Source organism: Homo sapiens, chromosome 19 (assembly GCF_000001405.40).
Source record: "Homo sapiens chromosome 19, GRCh38.p14 Primary Assembly".
In the NCBI taxonomy this organism is placed as follows: Eukaryota; Metazoa; Chordata; class Mammalia; order Primates; family Hominidae; genus Homo; species Homo sapiens.
In genome coordinates, this window is record NC_000019.10 from 6,839,376 (window position 1) to 6,858,046 (window position 18,671).

At 44.9% G+C, this 18,671-nt stretch overlaps 1 protein-coding gene across 4 annotated transcripts in view; it reads left to right on the plus strand.

Moving 5' to 3' along the window:
• The window catches only part of VAV1 (vav guanine nucleotide exchange factor 1), an 84,654-nt gene extending 66,668 nt beyond the window's left edge, over positions 1–17,986 (plus strand). For 3 of the 4 annotated variants that reach the window (NM_005428.4, NM_001258206.2, NM_001258207.2), the window contains 6 exons: positions 3,760–3,791; positions 8,623–8,739; positions 11,295–11,382; positions 13,590–13,704; positions 14,572–14,723; positions 17,679–17,986. In NM_005428.4, coding sequence (NP_005419.2) covers positions 3,760–3,791; positions 8,623–8,739; positions 11,295–11,382; positions 13,590–13,704; positions 14,572–14,723; positions 17,679–17,732 — 558 coding nt within the window. In that variant the 3' untranslated portion in view covers positions 17,733–17,986. The remainder of the gene's footprint in view (positions 1–3,759; positions 3,792–8,622; positions 8,740–11,294; positions 11,383–13,589; positions 13,705–14,571; positions 14,724–17,678) is intronic. The other variant, XM_005259642.2, reaches the window with a different exon arrangement.
• The last annotated feature ends 685 nt before the right edge of the window (positions 17,987–18,671 follow it).

Consider the following 18,671-nt stretch of genomic DNA (forward strand, 5'->3'; position numbering starts at 1 on the left):
AAAAATTCAGAATACTGAGTAGCTGAGATTACAGGCGTGCACCACCACACCTGGCTAATTTTTTGTATTTTTAGTAGAGATGGGATTTTACCATGTTGGTCAGGCTGATCTCAAACTCCTGACCTCAAATGATCTGCCTGCCTCGGCCTCCCAAAGTGCTGGGATTACAGGCGTGAGCCACCACGCCCGGCTGGGTATGGCATTTTCTTTTGGAGTGATAAAAATGTTTTAGAACTAGGTAGAGGCGGTGATTCCTCATTCATTTTATTATTATTATTTTTGATTATGGCAAAATATATAGAACATAAAAGTTAACAATGTAACCTTTTTTTTGGAGACAGGATCTCACTCTGTTGCCCAGGCTGGAGTGCAATGGTGCAATCTTGGCCCACCGCAGCCTCGCCTCCCAGGCTCAGGTGGTCCTCACACTTCCGCCTCCCAAGTAGCTGGGACTACAGGTGCATACCACCATGCCTGGCTAATTTTTTGTATTTTTCGTAGCGATGGGGTTTTGCCATGTTGCCCAGGCTGGTTTCGAACTTCTGGGCCCAAGTGATTCCCCTGCCTCAGCCTCTCAAAGTGCTGGGATTACAGGCCTGAGCCGCCATGCCCGGCCAACATAACCATTTTCTAAGGTACAGTTGAGTGGCATTAAGTACATTCACAGTGTTTTGCCACCATCACCACCATCATCTCCAGAACACTTTTCATCTTGCAGCACTCTGAACCCATTAAACAGCAACCACCTATTCCCCTCTCCCAGCCCCTGACATTCACATTCTACTCTTGAGCTCTATGGATTTTTCTGTCCTAAGTACCTCACCTAAGTGAAATCATACAGTATTTGTCCTTTGTGTCTAGCTTGTTTCACTTGGCATAATGTATTCAAGGCTCATCCATGTTGTGGAATGTGTCAGAATTTTCTTTCTTTTTTTTTTTTTTTTTGGTGAAATGGAGTCTCGCTCTGTCACCCAAGCTGGAGAGCAGTGGCGCAATCTTGGCTCACTGCAAGCTCCACTTCCCGGGTTCACACCATTCTCCTGCCTCAGCCTCCCGAGTAGCTGGGACTACAGGCACTTGCCACCACGCCTGGCTAATTTTTTGTATTTTTAGTAGAGTTTCACCGTGTTAGCCAGGATGGTCTCGATCTCCTGACCTTGTGTTCCTCCCGCTTCGGCTTCCCAAAGTGCTGGGATTACAGGCGTGAGCCACTGCGCCCGGCCTTTTTTTATTTTTATTTTTTTGGGATGGAGTGTGGTCCTGTTACCCAGGCTGGAGTGCAGTGGTCGTGTAATTATAACTCACTGCAGACTCGACCCCCTAAGCTTAAGTGATCCTCCCACTTCAGCCTCCTGAGTAGCTGGGACTACAGGCATGTGCCACCATGCCTGGCTAATTTTTCTACTTTTAAAAAAATTTTTGAGATGGAGTTTCGCTCTTGTTGCCCAGGCTGGAGTGGAATGGTGCAATCTCGGCCCACTGCAACCTCAGCCTCCCGGGTTCAAGTGATTCTCCCACTTCAGCCTCGAGTAGCTGGGATTACAGGCATGCACCACCACACCAAGCTAATTTTTGTATTTTTAGTAGAGACAGGGTTTCACCATGTTGGCCAGGCTGGTCTCGAACTCCTGACCTGAGGTGATCTGCCCGCGTTGGCCTCCCAAAGTGCTGGGAGTACAGGTGTGAGCCACCATGCCGGGCCTAATTTTTGTATTCTTTTGTAGGGACAGGGTTTCATCATGTTGCCCAGGCTGGTCTCGAACTCCTGGGCTCAAGAGACCCACCCTCCTTGGCTTCCCAAAGTGCTAGGATTACAGGCATGAGCCACCGTGCTGGGCAATTTTCTTAATTCTTAAGGCTAATATTCCATGGTATGCATATACCATGTTTTGTTTATCCGTTTTCCTGTCAATGAACAATTGGTTGCTTCAACTTTTGCGTATTGTGAATAAAGCTGCTACAAACATGGGTATGCAAATATCATTTCGAATCCATGCTTTCAATTCCTTTGGGTATATACTCAGAAACAGGACGGCTGGGTCATATGGTAGTGTAGTTCTAGTTTTTAATGTTTTGAGGAACCACCATACTATTTTTCTTTTCTTTTTTTTTTTTTTTGATAGGGAGTTTTGCTCTGTCCCCAGGCTGGAGTGCAATGGAATGATCTCGGCTCACTGCAACCTCCGCTTCCCAGGTTCAAGCAATTCTCCTGCCTCAGCCTTCCAAATAACTGGGATTACAGGCATGCGTCACCACGCCCGGCTAATTTTTTGTATTTTTAGTAGAGACGGGGTTTTGCCATGTTGGTCAGGCTGGTCTTGAACTCCTGACCTCGTGATCCGCCTGCCTCGGCCTCCCAAAGTGCTGGGATTACAGGCATGAGCCACCGTGTCCAGCACATACTGTTTTTCATAGTGCACCATTTTCCATTCCCACCAACAGTGCACAAGGGTTCTGATTTCTCCACATCCTTGCCAACATTTGCTACTTTCTGTTTTGTTTGTTGATTTGTTTTTGCCTTATAGTAGCTGTCCTAATTGTTTTAAGGTAGTGAAAGTGAGCACTTTCGGCCGGGCGCGGTGGTTCACGCCTGTAATCCCAACACTTTGGGAGGCCGAGGCGGGTGGATCACCTGAGCTCGGGAGTTTGAGACCAGCCCGACCAACATGGAAGAAACCCCATCTCTACTAAAAATACAAAATTAGCCGGGCGTGGTGACACACACCTGTAATCCCAGCTACCTGTAATCCCAGCTGAGGCAGGAGAATCGCTGGAACCTGGGAGGCGGAGGTTGCTGTGAGCCAAGATCGCGCCATTGCACTCCAGCCTGGGCAATAAGAGCAAAACTCTGTCTCAAAAAGAACAAATAAATAAATAATAAATACATACATAAAACAAAAAAGAAAGTGAGCACTTTCATCCATATTTAGATGAGGGTTGGTAAACTTTTTCTGTAAAGAGCCGAAGAGTAGTGTAAATCTGCTCACCCTCCAGGGTCCCATATGGTTTTGCAACTCTTCAGCTCCGCCCCTGTAGTGCAAAAGTAGCCACAGATAATCTGTAAATGATGTATAGACACGGCTGTGTTCCTACAAAGCATAATTCATGGGCACTGACAGGTGAATTTCATATGATCTTCACAATCCCAAAAACATTCTTTTGGCTAGGCGTGGTGGCTCATGCTTGTAATCCCAGACCTTTGGGAGGACAAGGCAGGAGGATTGCTTGAGGTCAGGAGTTTGAGACCAGCCTGGGAAACAAAGGGAGACCATCCCCCGCCCGATCTTGACAAAATTTAAAAAAATTAAAAATTAGCGGGTGTGGTGGTGCGTACCTGTAGTCCCAGCACTTGGGAGGCTGAGGTGAGAGGATCGCTTGAACCTGGGAGATCGAGGCTGCAGTGAGCTATGATCATACTGCTGCACTCCAACCTGGGCAGCATAGTGAGACTCTGTCCCTAAAAAAAAGAAAAAATTCTTTTGATTTTTGCCAACCATCTAAAAATGTAAAAACCATTCTTGACTTGAGGGTAATGATAAACTGCTGGGAAGACAACCCCTGCTTTATATGATACTGGGGCAGTCTCTCCCCCGAGGTTCTGGGACTTTATCCCCAGTGAGTACCACAGTGCCTGGCACATAATAGGCACTCACTAAATGCAAGTGGAATGAGTGAATGAATGAATGAATGAAGTGCCCTGCCCTCTGCTGTCAAGCTGGGGTCTTTACACTAAGTTGGGGTCTCTCTCTGTATTCTTAGGGCCCTCCTCAGGACCTGTCTGTTCATCTCTGGTGAGTAGAAACATTTATTTTTGTTTCAATGAGAGGTTTCTGGGTTGGGGTTCCAGGCTGGGTATGGGAGGAACCTCCGAGCCAATTAGTTATGCATTCTGTGATCCCTGAGCACCGACTTCTGAATCTAGCTCTGGGCTGGGGGCTGCTGGGGATGGGACAGACAAAGGAGGGTCCCTCACCTTGGGAGATGATGGTCTTGTTGGAAGGAAAATGGTTACAATGATGATGACGATGATGACAATGATGATGATGATAATGATGATGGTGGTGATGGTAATGACAGTTCCAGTTGTTTTTGTAGGATTTTTTGTTTTGTTTGTTTGTTTGTTTTGCACCTATAGCATGTCAAGCATATAGGGGTGGAGGTTTACAGTGTGGCTTTTGGAGCCCGCTGACCTGGATTCAAATTCTGACCCCAACCTTACCTAGCTGTATGACCTTGGGCCGGTTACTTAACCTCCCTCTGTTTCAGCATTCCTCTCTGGAAAATAGCTTAATGACAGTATCTACTTCATAGTGTTTTTAGGAGGCGTAAATGAGTCTGTCAAGTGCTTAGTCCTGGTCCTGACACATAATGAGGACTTTATACAGCATTAGCTGTTGTTATTACTCATTTAATCTGTTCTAAGATGCATGGTTGTTTTTTTTTTCTTCTTCACATTTGAACATCTCTGACATTGAAATAGCTCTTGCGATCCACAGTGTCCATCTTCTGCTGAATTTTATAGGCAGGAAGTGTTCTTTCATAATGGCACATAAAAGAATGGGGCATTGAACAATTGCTGGCGCATCAGCTATTTAATGAGCTCCTTTAATCTTCACAAAAGCCCTTCGGAAAATAGATTTGATTCTTACTCTCTGCCCCCATACTTTCTTCTTTTCTTCTTCTTCTTCTTTTTTTTTTTTTTTTTTTTTTTTTTTTTTTTTTTTTTTTTGCAAATGAGGCTGAGAGAGGGTAAGTGAATTACTTAATGTCACATGGTGAGGAAGTGATGGAGATGGGATTTGAACCCAAAGCCTCAGTGCCTCAGTTTATCATCTCTGGCTAGTAATAAAACACAGCATGATGATGCTCCCATCTTCTTGTTGCCCAGGCTGGAGCGCAATGGCGTGATCTCGGCTCACTGCAACCTCCACCTCCCAGGTTCAAGCGATTCTCCTGCCTCAGCCTCCCGAGCTGGGATTACAGGCACCTGCCGCCACACCTGGCTAATTTTTTATATTTTCAGTAAAGACAGAGTTTCACCATGTTGGCCAGGCTGGTCTCGAACTCCTGATCTCAGGTGATCCACTCGCCTCAGCCTCCCAAAGTGCTGGGATTACAGGTGTGAGCCACCTCGCCCAGCCGACGCTCCCATCTTCTAAGTGTGTACCACATAGTAGCAGGTGCACTATTGCCATTTATAAAAAATGTGCATCTGTGGCGTCTCCCTCTTTTCAGAAGAGGAAATTGAGGCCCAGAGAGGCAAAACCAGTTGCCGAGGTCTTAGAACACGTAAGAGGCAGGGTCAGGATTTGAATCGTGCTCTCCTGCGTTAGCGCTCCTTCCGCCCTTCTGCGCCGAGATGTGGTCAATGGGGTGGGGACCAGGGTGAGACCAGGGAGGCTCTCTCGTGGGTGCAAGATTTAAGGGGACGCTGAAAATCTCAGTCATTAAGGTCCATCATGTTTTAATGCAACATTAAAAAAAATCAAAAACAAGCCAAAAAAATTTCGAGATGAACAAATACCAAAACTGTAACTAAAGACAGGATCCAATAGAGCTGGGAGTAAGAGGAGGTGGGTGAGGTGAGTCGGGCAGTCAGATTCTGTCTTTATTCAAAATGTTGATGTTTGTTCATCATGGTTTCTTTGCATTCATTAAAAAAAGATGTTAAACACCAACTCGAACCAGATTTGCATTCGTTTTTTAAAATTGAGGTGAAATTCGGCTGGGCGCAGTGGCTCACGCCTGTAATCTCAGCTCTTTGGGAGGCCGAGGCGGGTCGATCACTTGAGGTCAGGAGTTCAAGACCAGCCTGGGCAACATGGTGAAACCCTGTCTCTACTAAAAATACAAAAAAAAATTAGCTGGGCATGGTGGCGCACGCCTGTAGTCCCAGCTACTCAGGAGGCTGAGGCAGGGGAATCGCTTGAACCTGGCAGGCGGAGGTTGCAGTGAGCCGAGATTGCGCCATTGCACTCCAGCCTGGGCAACAGAGCGAGACTCGGTCTCAAAAAATAAACAAACAAACAAATAAATAAATAAATAAAAATGAGGTGAAATTCATACAACATAAAATTAACCTTGTAATTGTTACTGGCATTTCTATTTCTATTCATATTTACATTTATATTACATATTAACATTTACATGATGTTAGATATTATATGCAATTACATATGATTTATAATTAATACTTATCATTTATATTGTGTATTTATGTTTACAACCTATTATATATTATACCACATATCATAAAATATATTTATATTATGCTATGTATTTTCACAAATTAATGTTTTTTATTTATGTTGCACATTTATGTTTATATTATATTATACCATACACAATATATTATAATAAGATTTATAGGTTACCTATTTACTTTACATTATATTATATTTATCTACAATTATGTATAATATATAACTAATATTTATTCTTTAAATTGTATATTTACATTTATATCATCTTATCACATATTATACCATATATCATAGTATATTTATATTACAGATTTGCATTTATATTATGCTACATATTCTAGAGAATTAACATTTATTATTTATATTGCACATTTATGTTTATATATCATATGCGTTATATAATATACTATACTGTAGCTTTATATATTACATATTTACATTTACATTATGTTAGGTGACATAAAATTATATATTATGTATAATTAATATTTATTATTTATATATGTTACATTTATGTCATATTGTACGTTATGTATTTTAACATACATTTACATTAACATGATGTATTTACACTTATATAAAATTATATATTATGTATAATTATGTATTACACATAATTAATATTCTTTATTGTATGTTACATTTAAATCATGTTGTACATTATATACTATAATATACATTACATTAACAAGAGATATTTACGCTTATATAAAATTATGTATTATGGGCTGGGCACGGTGGCTTATGCCTGTAATCCCAGCACTTTGAGAGGCTGAGGCGGGTGGATCACTTGAGGTCAGGAGTTCGAGACCAGTTTGGCCTACATGGTGAAACCCCGCCTCTATTAAAAGTACAGAAAATTAGCTGGGCGTGGTGGTGTGCACCTGTAATCCCAGCTACTCCAGAGGCTGAGGCAGGAGAATTGCTTGAACCCAGGAGGCAGAGGTTGCAGTGAGCCAAGACAGAGCGAGGCACTGTCTCAAAAAAAATTATATATTATATATAATTATGTATTACATATAATTAGTATGTATTATTTATGTTGCCCATTTACATTTATAATATATTGTATGTTATACCATATATTATACATTTACATAGACTATATATGGTGTATTCCATGTAATATAAATATTACATGTATATTTATATTATATTCATATTATATATTATAGGGTTATATATAACTATCTATATTAACATATAGCTATCTACAATAGATAGTTATATATTATTATATAATGATTATATATTATTATATATAACTATTATTTATATTGAATATTTACACTCACATTATAAATATATTCATGTTATATTTATATTCAGTGGCTTTTTGTTTTTTTTTTTTTGGAGACAGAGTTTCGCACTGTTGCCTGGGCTGGAGTGCAGTGGTGTGATCTCAGCTCACTGCAACCTCCGCCTACCGAGTTCAAGCGATTCTCTTGCCTCAGCCTCCTGAATAGCTGGGATTACAGGCGCCCGCCATCAAGCCCAGCTAATTTTTGCATTTTTAGTAGAGACGAGGTTTCACCATGTTGCCCAGGCTGGTCTCGAACTCCTGACCTTGTGATTCGCCCACCTCGGCCTCCCAAAGTGCTGGGATTACAGGCGTGAGCCACAGCGCCCAGCCAGTGCCATTTGGTATATTTGCAATACTGCGCCGCCATCACTGCCGTTTAGCTCCAAAACATTCTCAGCACCCCCAAGAGAAACCCCATCCCGGGCAGTTGCTCCTGCCTCCCGCAGCCCCCGGGAACCAAGGGTCTCCTTCCTGTCTCTGTGGATTGGCGTGTTCTGGGCATTTCCTATGAATGGAAATCACACAGTGTGTGGCCGTTTGTGCCTGGCTTCTCTCACTGAGTGTGATGTTTTAAGGCTCATCTCCATTGTAGCCCATGTCAGTGCTGCTTCCCTTTTGATGGCTGACTTTATTCATTTTGATTTCTAAGAATATTGTATTAGAATACTGTTTGTTTTACTTATTGTCATTTACCTTGATGACTAGGTTTTTTGGCTCTCACTTACATTTTGCACCTGAGGCTCGTGACTCATTCTCCTTCCCCTACTTCTGTCCGGGTGACCACAGAGATGGGCACACAGTGAGCCTTCAGGAAATGCCTGGTGAAGCCATCGCCAAATTCCAGACACCCAGCCAGACCCAAAGGGCTGAGCCATCCCCCCGAATCCATGTGTCAAACCTTAGTGGTGACCTGTAGAAGTGGAAGCCCGCTCCCCATGTCTGGGCTCCGGCCCCTGCCTCCACGGGGCCTACCTTGGTGCTGAAGGGCTGTTAGAGCCAGGCTGTCACCAACTTAAAAAATCAAAGGGGTTCAGGGGGAAAGGCAACCTCCATATGGCAATATGGGGACCCAGGCACGGGGACCGTGCCACCTCTGTCCTTGGTGTCTCTTTGCAGGTACGCAGGCCCCATGGAGCGGGCAGGGGCAGAGAGCATCCTGGCCAACCGCTCGGACGGGACTTTCTTGGTGCGGCAGAGGGTGAAGGATGCAGCAGAATTTGCCATCAGCATTAAGTAACTCCTTTCTCCCTGACTCATACCCTTTTGGGGCCTGGGCCCTGCGGGCCTGGGAAAAAGGGTATCCAGGTTTTACTTTATAGAAGTGTACGGTAATAGCATCCACCTTTTACTGAGCCCCTGCTGGTTCCCACGTGCCTTTCACCTTCTTTATTTCTTTTAATTGACGACCACAAGAAAGAGATATGATTCCTATAGAGGCTCAAAAAGGCTCTTAAAATTAATTAATTAATTTGAGTCAGAGTCTCCCTCTGTCGCCCTGACCTTTCTTTTTTCCCCTTTTTTTCTTTTCTTTTCTTTTCTTTTTTTTTCTGACAGAGTCCCTTTGTCGCCCAGGCTGGAGTGCAGTGGTGAGATCTCAGCTCACTGCAACCTCCCAGGTTCAAGCGATTCTCCTGCCTCAGACCCCCGAGTAGCTGGGATTACAGGCGCCTGTGACCATGCCCAGCTAATTTTTGTATTTTTAGTAGATACGGGGTTTCTCCATGTTGGCCAGCCTGGTCTCGAACTCCTGACCTCAAGTGATCCACCCGCCTCGGCCTCCCAAAGTGTTGGGATTACAGGCGTGAGCCATCGTGCCTGGCCTGAAGGCTTTTATTTTTAACCAATTTTCATATATATGTTTTTTCTTTTTTTTTAACTTCCAGGAATTTCTAATTTTTTTAATTTAATTTTATTATTATTATTGTTATTTTGGTGACAGTCTGTCTCTGTTGCCCAGGCTGGAGTGCAGTGGTGAGATCTTAGCTCACTGCAACCTCTGCCTCCCAGATTCAGGGGACCCTCCTAGCTCAGCCTCCCCAGTGGCTGGGACTATAGGTGTGCACCACCACATCCAGCTAATGTTTATATTTTTTGTAGAGACGAGGGTCTCTCCTTGTTGCCCAGGCTGGTCTCATACTCCTGACCTTCAAACATCCTCCCACCTCAGCCTCCCAAAGTGCAGGTGTGAGCCACTACATCCCACCTATATATTTTTTTTTTCAACTTATTTTAGAATCAGAGGGCACATGTGCAGGTTTGTTACAAAGGTATATTGCACAATGCTGAGGGTTGGGGCCATGAATGATCCCAACACCCAGGGAGTGATCATATACTCGGTAGTTTTTCAGCTCTTTCATCCCACCCTCCTCCCTCTAGTGCTCCCCCGAGTCTACTGTTTCCAGCCTTTTTTTTTTTTTTTTTTTTTGAGATGGAGTCTCACTTTGCCGCCCAGGCTGGAGTGCAATGGCATGATCTCAGCTCACTGCAAACTCCACCTCCCAGGTTCAAGCGAGTCTTCTGCCTCAGCCTCTTGAGTAGCTGGGATTTACAGGTGCACGTCACCATGCCTGGCTAATTTTTTTGTATTTTTAGTAGAGACAGTGGGGTGGGGGGTGGGGGGAAAGTTTCACCATGTTGGCCAGGCTGGTCTCGAACTCCTGACCTCAGGTGATCCACCTGCCTCGGCCTCTCAAAGTGCTGGGATTACAGGCGTGAGCCACTGTGCCTGGCCAATATTATTCCCATCTTTATGTCCATGTGTACCCAATGTTTAACCCCTGCTTATAAGTGAGAACATGTGGTGTTTGGCTTACTGTTTCTGTATTAATTCATTTAGGATAATAACACCCAGTGCATCCACGCTGCTGCAATGCACATGATCTCATTCTTCTTTATGGCTGTATAGTAGTCCATAGTGTGTGTATATGTACCACATTTTCTTATCCAGTCCACTGTTGATGGGCACCTGGGTCGATCCATGTCTTTGCTATTGTGAATGCTGCTGTGATGAACAAACAAGGGTGTGTGTCTTTCTGGTAGCACAATTACTTTTTCCTTTGGGTAGATACCCAGTCATAGGGTAGCTGCATCAAATGGTGGTTCTATTTTTAGTTCTTCGAGAAACCTCCAAACTGCTTTCCGCAGTGGCTGAACCAATTTACAGTCCAGCCCACAGTGTAGAGGAATTCCCTTCTCTCACATGCTGCTGAGTTTGTAATTTCATTGTTATTTTTGGCTCCTGTGAATTTCCCTTACTTTTTTTTTTTTTGAGAGCTCAGCAATTTTTTTCTCAACATTTCTAGTGTTTTTTTAAATAGGAAGAGTTTTGTTTGTTTGTTTCTTTGTTTTTTTTTTTTTTTTTTTTGTGATCTAGTTTGCCAGATGAGCAGGAGTGGAGGTCTTCTCCAAGGCCCCTTTTAGTCTATTTCCACCATGTTGACAGAAATGGGTCTTTCCTCCCTCTTCCTTTATATCCTATGGTTGTCTATATTGGTGGAAGGGGAGGTCTCTTCGTATCCATTCTAGAACACTGCCTTCTTTACAAGATCTTACTGACTTCTCAACAAACCTGTGAGTCAGGGAAGATGATTCCTCTTCTACGAGAGGAAGACATTAAGGCTTTAGAGTAGCAAAGGCCCCAGGGAATGGGCTCTGTTGGGACAGCTTGTCTTTGGTTTCCAGTAGTTACTCCTCCCTGAAGGGGTCAAGGTTGCTTCCTCCATAACTGGGGCTTGGTGGGGAATGGGCCTGGTCCCCAGACTCAGGGCCCGGTGACCATCTGGTTCCAGATATAACGTCGAGGTCAAGCACATTAAAATCATGACAGCAGAAGGACTGTACCGGATCACAGAGAAAAAGGCTTTCCGGGGGCTTACGGTAAGGGTCAATGTCCGCTCAATCCCAGCTTTCCAGAACCTAGGAGGACCCTCCCTGCACCTCCGCCTTGGGACCCCCTTTTCCCACATTCAGGGTGACCCCCCTCCAGTGGCACTACAGTGCAAGTGACCTTAAACTTATGCTCTTAATGATGAACAATGGGAATAATAATGAATAACAGCAGTTGAATATTGACAGAGCACTTAAGTGTAAGATATGTTCATTTTTAAATTTTATTTATACATATATTCAAGCATTATGTATATATGTATGTGTGTATATATGCATATATACATACATATGTATGTATGTGTATTTAAATTTTACTTACGTATATATACATATGTATACATATGTATGTAGGGTACATGTATATACGTGTATCTGTTTATTTTTATATATATAGATAGATAGAGAGAGAGAGATTGAGAGAGAGAAAGAGAGTCTTGCTCTGTTGCCCAGGCTGGAGTGCAGTGGTGCAATCATAGTACACTGCAGCCTCAAATTCCTGGTTTAAATAATCTCTCGCCTCAGCCTCCCGAGCAGCTGGTACTATAGGCATGCACCATCATGCCTGGCTAATTTTAAAAAAAAATTTTTTTTTTGTAGAGATGGGGACTTGCTTTGTTGCTCAGGCTGGCCTTGAACTCCTGGGCTCAAATAATCCTTCTGTCTTGGCCTCCCAAAGTGTTGGGATTACAGGTGTGAGCTACTGCATTCAGCCCTCAAATATGTTATAGATAGAAACCTAATTAATCCCCTCAACCTTCTTTCTGAGTTCCCATTTCACAGATGGGTAAAACTGAGGTTTACTCCTCGTCTAGCTTCACTGAATGGCAGAGCCCATAGCTTGTCTTTGCCTAATCTGCTGCATAATCATTTCAGCAACAACTCAAATGCCTTTTGAGGGTTCTTGCTTCTGTTTGGTGCCTTGTAATTTTCAACCATATTTTAGACACTTTAGGCCTAATGATCTAAGGCATATGGTTTTTACCCATGGTCTGTGGGCCCTTGAGAAGCTGAGTCCTCTGAAAGAAAATCAGAATGTTGCATGCATCTGTATTTTTTGTCTTAGATTTCACTTGATTCTCAAATGGATCCTTGACTCCCCCAAAGTTTAATTTATTCAACAAATCTTTTTTTTCCTCCATACTTTTTATTCTGAAACATATTCCCCCAATTTTTAACTTCTGAAAAATTTCAGACAAGTTATTGGAATAGGGTAGTGAGTATCTATGAACCTTTCATATAGGTTTACTTTAAAAAAAATACAAGAGACAGGGTCTTGCTCTGTGGCCCAGGCTAGAGTGCAATGTTGTGATCATAGCTCACTGTGGCTTCAAACCCCTGGGCTCAGGCGATCCTCCCTCCTCAGCCTCCTGAATAGCTGAGACTACAGGCATGCACTGTCATGCCTGGCTAATTGTTTAAATCTTTTTTAGAGATGGGATCTTGCTATGTTGCCCAGGCTGGTCTTGAACTCTTGGCTTCAAGTGAACTTCCCACCTTGACTTCCCAAGGTGCTGAGATTCCAGGCATGAGCCACTACATCTGGCCTGATGATGATTGCTAATTGTAAATTAAGGCATGTGGCCCCATAGAAGGTTTTGAATTTGGTGAGCTAATTATCTGGTAAATTTATCACGAAGTAAGTTAGTCCACTATTGAAAGAACCTGTTTTTGGCCGGGCACGGTGGCTCACGCCTGTAATCCCAGCACTTTGGGAGGCCGAGGCAGGCGGATCACGAGGTCAGGAGATCGAGACCATCCTGGCTAACACGGTGAAACCCCGTCTCTACTAAAAATATAAAAAATTAGCTGGGCGTAGTGGCGGGCGCCTGTAGTCCCAGCTACTCGGGAGGCTGAGGCAGGAGAATGGCATGAACCCTGGAGGCGGAGCTTGCAGTGAGCCGAGATTGCGCCACTGCACTCCAGCCTGGGCGACAGAGCCAGACTCCGTCTCAAAGAAAAAAAAAAAAGAAAGAAAGAACCTGTTTTAGGCAGTGTGGTCCCTTCCCCATAAATAGTCCTGGCTGCTCAGGGAGGTGATGAACTCCCCATCATGGGGAGTATTCAAGGGGTCACTTTCCAAAGAGGCCAGAAACAGGGCCTGCTTCATGTGAGGAGTTGCATATGGCTGTTCCTAGCTCTGCCCCCTTATGGGCTGGCCCGCTGGGATAGCATCTGCCATGTGGTCCGCCTTCTAGGAGCTGGTGGAGTTTTACCAGCAGAACTCTCTAAAGGATTGCTTCAAGTCTCTGGACACCACCTTGCAGTTCCCCTTCAAGGAGCCTGAAAAGAGAACCATCAGCAGGCCAGCAGGTAGGAGGTCTCAGACTGGGGGCTTACAGCCTCAGCCCCTTCCCATTGTGGAGGGAAACTTTGGGGATGCCATTGACACCCCTTCCAATGGCCTTGCAGAGGTCATATCTGTGCAGTAGCAGGAACCCCTTTCCACTCCTGTCTATCCCTTCCTATATATATTTTAATATAATATAATTTAATTAATTAATTTATTTATTTTTTGAGACAGAGTCTCACTCTGTTGCCTAAGCTGGAGTGCAGTGGTGCGATCTTAGCTCCCTGCAACCTTTGCCTCCCACCTCTTGGGTTCGAGGGATTCTCATGCCTCAGCCTCAAAATAAAAAAATAAAAATAAAAATTCCAAACCAGTCTTATTTTCTGGCTGGGTGCGGTGGCTCATGCCTGTAACTCCAGCACTTCGGGAGGCCAAGGTGGGTGGATCACTTGAGGTTAGGAGTTCAAGACCAGCCTGGCCAACATGGTGAAACTCCATCTCTACTAAAAAAAAAAAACATAAAAATCAGCCGGGCATGGTGGCACAGGCCTGTAATCCCCGTGATTCAGGAGGCTGAGGCAGGAGAATCACTTGAACCCAGGAGGCATAGGTTGCAGTGAGCTGAGATTGTGCCACCGCACTCCAGTCTGGGTGACAGAGAGAGACTTTATCTCAAAAAAAAAAAAAAGTGTTATTTTCTAAATTCAGACGGGAGGATGATGCTGGGAGTACAATTGTGTCCCCTTACAGTACAGGGCATCTAATACTCTGCAGAAAAGAGCACTGAGGAGCCCTTTATCCTGGAGTTACTGTCCTGAGAGCTTGTGCCCCCAGAGAGTGAGTGGGTATCTGCCCCAGACCCTTTTCTCACTTCTGTTCTCTCTCCACAGTGGGAAGCACAAAGTATTTTGGCACAGCCAAAGCCCGCTATGACTTCTGCGCCCGAGACCGATCAGAGCTGTCGCTCAAGGAGGGTGACATCATCAAGATCCTTAACAAGAAGGGACAGCAAGGCTGGTGGCGAGGGGAGATCTATGGCCGGGTGAGGCAGGCAGGGCTGGGTGACGGGGAGGGCATGGGGGTTGAGCTGGTGGTGGACGAGACTGGAACTGGGGACTGGAGAAGGTGAGGTGCGGCTCCCATGGAGATCTCTCACGGTGGGAGGGAAGGAAGGGACACAGGGATGTCATTTATGCATTTATGCAACCTACCTGCATGTATTCAGCACCTGCTGTGTGCAGACATTGTGCTGGGTGTCGAGGAGACAGAAACAAGCACGGTACAAGGATTGCCCTCATGAAACTTATAATCGAATGTGGAGGACAGACCTATAACCAAGCAGTCATGACACTGAGTGGTCAAGACTAACAAGGGTGCCAGTCACGGTGGCTCATGCCTGTAATCCCAGTGCTTTGGGAGGCTGAGGTGGGAGGATCTCTTGAGGCCACAAATTCAAGGCAAGCCTGGCTAAAATAGTGAGATCCCACCTCTACATAAATAAAAATAAAAACAAAAACATTAGTTGGGCGTGGTAGTGTGTCCCAGGTACTCAGGAAGCTGAGGTGGGAGGATTGCTTGAGTCCAGGAGTTGGATGCTGCAGTGAGCTATGATTGTGCCACTGCAGCCTGGGTGACAGAACAAGACCCTGTCTTTAAAAAAAAGAAGAAAGAATAAAAGAGATTGTGGTGGAGAATCACAGGGCAGCGTGGGAGCACTGAGGGAGCCCCTGACCCACCCTAGGAGTGGATCAGGATGACTTCTGAAAGGCCAAACTGATTAATAAGGGATAAATAAAGTCATGCAAATGAAAAGGTTGTATATGTGTTGGGGGAAAGCATTCCAGACAGAAGGACCAGTGTGTGCAAAGGCCCTGGGGTGAGAGGTGCCTAATCAGTACTGAATATACAAAGAGGTAGAGCTGGGACTAAACCACTGTGCTCACTTTGCCTGCTTGAATTCCGATTCCAAGGAGTGGAATAGACTTCAAATGTCTTCAAGTCCACTTGTTTCTGCCAAGTTCTCATTTTTGTTCCATGAAGGCAGAGCACCTTCTTTATTTCATCCACTGATGACTTCTCAGCCTCTAGAATTCTGCCTTATGATGGATTTCTCAGAAATATGTTTGTGTAATGAAGACAAGGACAGTGGTTAGAGTTTACATTCTACTGGGGAAAATATACACAAAAAATGATGTGGATAATTGCATCGATGAGGAGTTTTGTTAAAACATTGGAGGGTCAGTTTAATGAGCAGTGGAGGACAATTAGGCTTTGAGAGAGGCTTTTGGAGCATTGAGGAAGGATTGGGATGTAAAGGATTCATCCATCCATCCATCCATCCATCTATCCATCCATCCATCTATCCATCTATCTATCCACAAATCATCCATTCATCTGTGCATCCATCCATCTTAGCCTATGCATCCATCCATTTCAACCTACGCATCTATCCATTCATCCACCCACCCTTCCACTCACGCATCTATCTAACCATCTATCCACCTACCCACCCATTAAAACATTAATCTATCCATTAATCCACCATCCAGCCAACATCTATTCATCCATTTCTATCTGTGCATCCATCCATCTATCCATGCATGCACCCATCTGTTAATCTATCTCTATATTTATCCATCCATACACCTACTCACCAGTCCATTAATTCATCCATCCATCCATCCGACCACCATCCACTCACCCTTCCAATCACCATTCACCAACCCAAGTATCCATCCACCCATTCATCTATCTATCTATCTATCTATCTATCTATCTATCTATCTATCCATTCATTATCTATCTACCTATCTATCCACCTACCCATCAATCCAATAATCCATCCATTCATCTATCCATCCAGCCAAAAAATATTCAGTAAGTATCTACTGTGTGCCAGGAACTGTTCTAGGCTCTTGGGATTCAGTGACAAATAATACAGACAAAAATCCCTGCTGGCCAGGCGTGGTGGCTTATGCCTGTAATCCCAGCACTTTGGGATGCCAAGGTGGGTGGATCAGTTGAGGAGAGGAGTTTGAGACCCGCCTGGCCAACATGGCGAAACCCTGTCTTAACTAAAGATACAAAAAAATTAGCTGGGCATTGTGGCGTGCGCCTCTAATCCCAGGTACTCGTTAAGCTGAGGCAGGAGAATCGCTTGAACCCAGGAGGCGGAGGCTGTGGTGAGCTGAGATCGCGCCACTGCACTCCAGCCTGGGCAACAGAGTAAGACTGTGTCTCAAAAAAAAAAAAAATTCTGCCTTGTAGAGCTCACATTGCAGTTGCAGGGAGGGGAACAGACAAAAAGCTTGTAAATAAGCAAATGATACATAATGAATCAGACGGTGATATGTGCTATAGAAAAAGATAAAGCAAGACAAGGGGTCCAGGCACGGTGGCTCATGCCTGTAATCCCAGCACTCTGGGAGGCCGAGATGGGCAGATCACCGGAGGTCAGGAGTTTGAAACCAGCCCGGCCAACATGGTGAAACCCCGTCTCTACTAAAAATACAAAAAAATTAGCCGGGTGTGGTGGCAGGCGCCTGTAATCCCAGCTACTCGGGATGCTGAGGCAGGAGAATCACTTGAACCCGGGAGGTGGAGGTTGCAATAAGCTGAGATTGCGCCATTGCACTCCAGCCTAGGGGGCAGAGTGAGACTCTGTCTCAAAAAAGAAAAAAAAAAAAAAAAGAAAAGAAAAGAAAAAGAAAAGGGGCTAAGGAGTGTTGGGGTGGGTGGAGCTTGCAATTTTGAATAGTATGGCTAGGAAGGTCTTGCTGATAAAGTGCCATTTAGGGAGGGACTTTTAGGAGGTAATGGGTGTGTGTGTGTGTGTGTGTGGTCAGCCTTGTGTACGTTGGGTGATGTGTTTTCTGGGATAGACAGAAGGAAGAGCAGGTGCAAAGGCCCTGAGGTGGGAGGGAGCCTGCCTGGTGTGTGGAGGGGCAGTAGGAGGATGTGCAGAGGTTGCACTGATGAACTCCTCGTCTGTTTCCAGGTTGGCTGGTTCCCTGCCAACTACGTGGAGGAAGATTATTCTGAATACTGCTGAGCCCTGGTGCCTTGGCAGAGAGACGAGAAACTCCAGGCTCTGAGCCCGGCGTGGGCAGGCAGCGGAGCCAGGGGCTGTGACAGCTCCCGGCGGGTGGAGACTTTGGGATGGACTGGAGGAGGCCAGCGTCCAGCTGGCGGTGCTCCCGGGATGTGCCCTGACATGGTTAATTTATAACACCCCGATTTCCTCTTGGGTCCCCTCAAGCAGACGGGGCTCAAGGGGGTTACATTTAATAAAAGGATGAAGATGGATAGAAGGACTGGTGTCGTTCAGAAGGACCTGCTAGGAGAGAGATGGGGAGAGAGTGTGCCACACTGACAAAGCCCCCTCACCAATCCACAGACAAAGCCCCCTTACCAACCACAGACAAAGCCCCCTCAACAATCCACAGACAAAGCCCCCTCAACAATCCACAGACAAAGCCCCCTCACCAATCACAGACAAAGCCCCTCACCAATCCACAGACAAAGCCCTCTCACCAATTTCTGTCTCCTAACTTGATTGCTGTTCTCTGTCATCTATTAATACAATACAACTTGAATCTGGGATATGAAATTCCCTCTTTTGGGCTGGGCATGGTGGCTCATGCCTGTAATCCCAGCACTTTGGGAGGCTGAGGTGGGCAGATTACCTGAGGTCAGGAGTTCAAGACCAGCCTGGCCAACATGGCAAAACCCCGTCTCTACTAAAAATACAAAAACTAGCCAGTGCCTATAATCCCAACTACTCAGGAGGCTGAGGCAGAAGAATCCCTTGAACCTGGGAGGCGGAGGTTGCAGTGAGCCAAGATCGCACCACTGCACTCCAGCCTGGGCAACAGAGCGAGATTCCGTCTCAAAAATAAATAAATAAATAAAATAAAATAAAGCAGGAATTTGCTGGGTGCAGTAGCTCACGCTTGTAATCCCAACACTTCAGGAGATTGAAGCGGGTGGA